Here is a 2,603-nt window from a genome sequence, read left to right on the forward strand (position 1 = left end):
TGTTAAACATATGTTTACAATAAAATTCCAGTTCTTCAACAACATTAGGATCTATTTATATGTAAGAAATTTGTTGGGCTAAACAGGTGAGGATTGATATACGTTTGGTGTAACTAATTGCTTTATTTGAATCCTTTCTCTTGGATTAAAAAAAAAGTAATAACCCTAGTGTAGTGGTTCCCCAAACATGTTCAGTCAGAACTGATTTAGATTTTTAAAAAATAATAATGATTCTTACACTTCACCTCATGAAATTTTGATGGAAAAGACAGGACCTGGAGAGTGGTACAGTGTAGGCAAGAAATTTGTGTTTCTGAAAACCTCAACAGGTCATCTCAATAAGCAGCCAAGCTTCGCAACCATTGTGAATAAGGCAGTTCTAATCTTTCAGGCCTGTTGTACTTTACTTCAGCTTTACAGGTACTTTAAGAAAATATCGGGGGAGGAGCCAAGATGGCCGAATAGGAACAGCTCCAGTCTACAGCTCCCAGCGTGAGCAACGCAGTCGACGGGTGATTTCTGCATTTCCATCTGAGGTACTGAGTTATTCTCACTAGGGAGTGCCAGACAGTGGGCGCAGGTCAGTGGGTACAGCGCATCGTGCGCGAGCCGAAGCAGGGCGAGGCATCACCTCACCCGGGAAGTGCAAGGGGTCAGGGAATTCCCTTTCCTAGTCAAAGAAAGGGGTGACAGATGGCACCTGGAAAATCGGGTGACTCCCACCTGAATACTGCACTTTTCCGATGGGCTTAAAAAATGGCACACCAGGAGATTATATCCTGCACCTGGCTCAGAGGGTCCTATGCCCATGGAATCTCACTGATTGCTAGCACAGCAGTCTGAGATCAAACTGCAGGGCGGCAGGGAGGCTGGGGGAGGGGCGCCCGCCATTGCCCAGGCTTGTTTAGGTAAACAAAGCAGCCGAAAAGCTCCAACTGGGTGGAGCCCACCACAGCTCAAGGAGGCCTGCCTGCCTCTGTAGGCTCCACCTCTAGGGGAAGGGCACAGGCAAACAAAAAGATAGCAGTAACGTTTAAATCTTTAATCCATCTTGAATTGATTTTTGTATAAGGTGTAAGGAAGGGATCCAGTTTCAGCTTTCTACATATGGCTAGCCAGTTTTCCCAGCACCATTTATTAAATAGGGAATCCTTTCCCCATTGCTTCTTTTTCTCAGGTTTGTCAAAGATCAGATAGTTGTAGATATGCGGCATTATTTCTGAGGGCTCTGTTCTGTTCCATTGATCTATATCTCTGTTTTGGTACCAGTACCATGCTGTTTTGGTTACTGTAGCCTTGTAGTATAGTTTGAAGTCAGGTAGTGTGATGCCTCCAGCTTTGTTCTTTTGGCTTAGGATTGACTTGGCGATGCGGGCTCTTTTTTGGTTCCATATGAACTTTAAAGTAGTTTTTTCCAATTCTGTGAAGAAAGTCATTGGTAGCTTGATGGGGATGGCATTGAATCTGTAAATTACCTTGGGCAGTATGGCCATTTTCACGATATTGATTCTTCCTACCCATGAGCATGGAATGTTCTTCCATTTGTTTGTCTCCTCTTTTATTTCCTTGAGCAGTGGTTTGTAGTTCTCCTTGAAGAGGTCCTTCACATCCCTTGTAAGTTGGATTCCTAGGTATTTTATTCTCTTTGAAGCAATTGTGAATGGGAGTTCACCCATGATTTGGCTCTCTGTTTGTCTGTTGTTGGTGTATAAGAATGCTTGTGATTTTTGTACATTGATTTTGTATCCTGAGACTTTGCTGAAGTTGCTTATCAGCTTAAGGAGATTTTGGGCTGAGACAATGGGGTTTTCTAGATATACAATCATGTCGTCTGCAAACAGGGACAATTTGACTTCCTCTTTTCCTAAATGAATACCCTTTATTTCCTTCTCCTGCCTGATTGCCCTGGCCAGAACTTCCCACACTATGTTGAATAGGAGCGGTGAGAGAGGGCATCCCTGTCTTGTGCCAGTTTTCAAAGGGAATGCTTCCAGTTTTTGCCCATTCAGTATGATATTGGCTGTGGGTTTGTCATAGATAGCTCTTATTATTTTGAAATACGTCCCATCAATACCTAATTTATTGAGAGTTTTTAGCATGAAGGGTTGTTGAATTTTGTCAAAGGCTTTTTCTGCATCTATTGAGATAATCATGTGGTTTTTGTCTTTGGCTCTGTTTATATGCTGGATTACATTTATTGATTTGCGTATATTGAACCAGCCTTGCATCCCAGGGATGAAGCCCACTTGATCATGGTGGATAAGCTTTTTGATGTGCTGCTGGATTCGGTTTGCCAGTATTTTATTGAGGATTTTTGCATCAATGTTCATCAAGGATATTGGTCTAAAATTCTCTTTTTTGGTTGTGTCTCTGCCCGGCTTTGGTATCAGAATGATGCTGGCCTCATAAAATGAGTTAGGGAGGATTCCCTCTTTTTCTATTGATTGGAATAGTTTCAGAAGGAATGGTACCAGTTCCTCCATGTACCTCCGGTAGAATTCGGCTGTGAATCCATCTGGTCCTGGACTAAAAACCCTAGAAGAAAACCCAGGCATTACCATTCAGGACATAGGCATGGGCAAGGACTTCATGTCCAAAACACC

The 2,603-nt window shown here is 42.7% G+C and overlaps 2 annotated features.

The window, feature by feature from the left end:
- Positions 242 to 743: an enhancer, noted in NCBI's record as "H3K4me1 hESC enhancer chr7:109545287-109545788 (GRCh37/hg19 assembly coordinates)". NCBI's record gives its function as "activates a minimal SCP1, AML or CMV promoter by ChIP-STARR-seq in primed H9 embryonic stem cells {active_cell/tissue: H9 hESC(primed)}" and the evidence as "EXISTENCE:reporter gene assay evidence [ECO:0000049][PMID:30033119]".
- Positions 744 to 1,243: an enhancer, noted in NCBI's record as "H3K4me1 hESC enhancer chr7:109545789-109546288 (GRCh37/hg19 assembly coordinates)". NCBI's record gives its function as "activates a minimal SCP1, AML or CMV promoter by ChIP-STARR-seq in primed H9 embryonic stem cells {active_cell/tissue: H9 hESC(primed)}" and the evidence as "EXISTENCE:reporter gene assay evidence [ECO:0000049][PMID:30033119]".

Source organism: Homo sapiens, chromosome 7, assembly GCF_000001405.40.
Source record: "Homo sapiens chromosome 7, GRCh38.p14 Primary Assembly".
Lineage (NCBI taxonomy): Eukaryota > Metazoa > Chordata > Mammalia > Primates > Hominidae > Homo > Homo sapiens.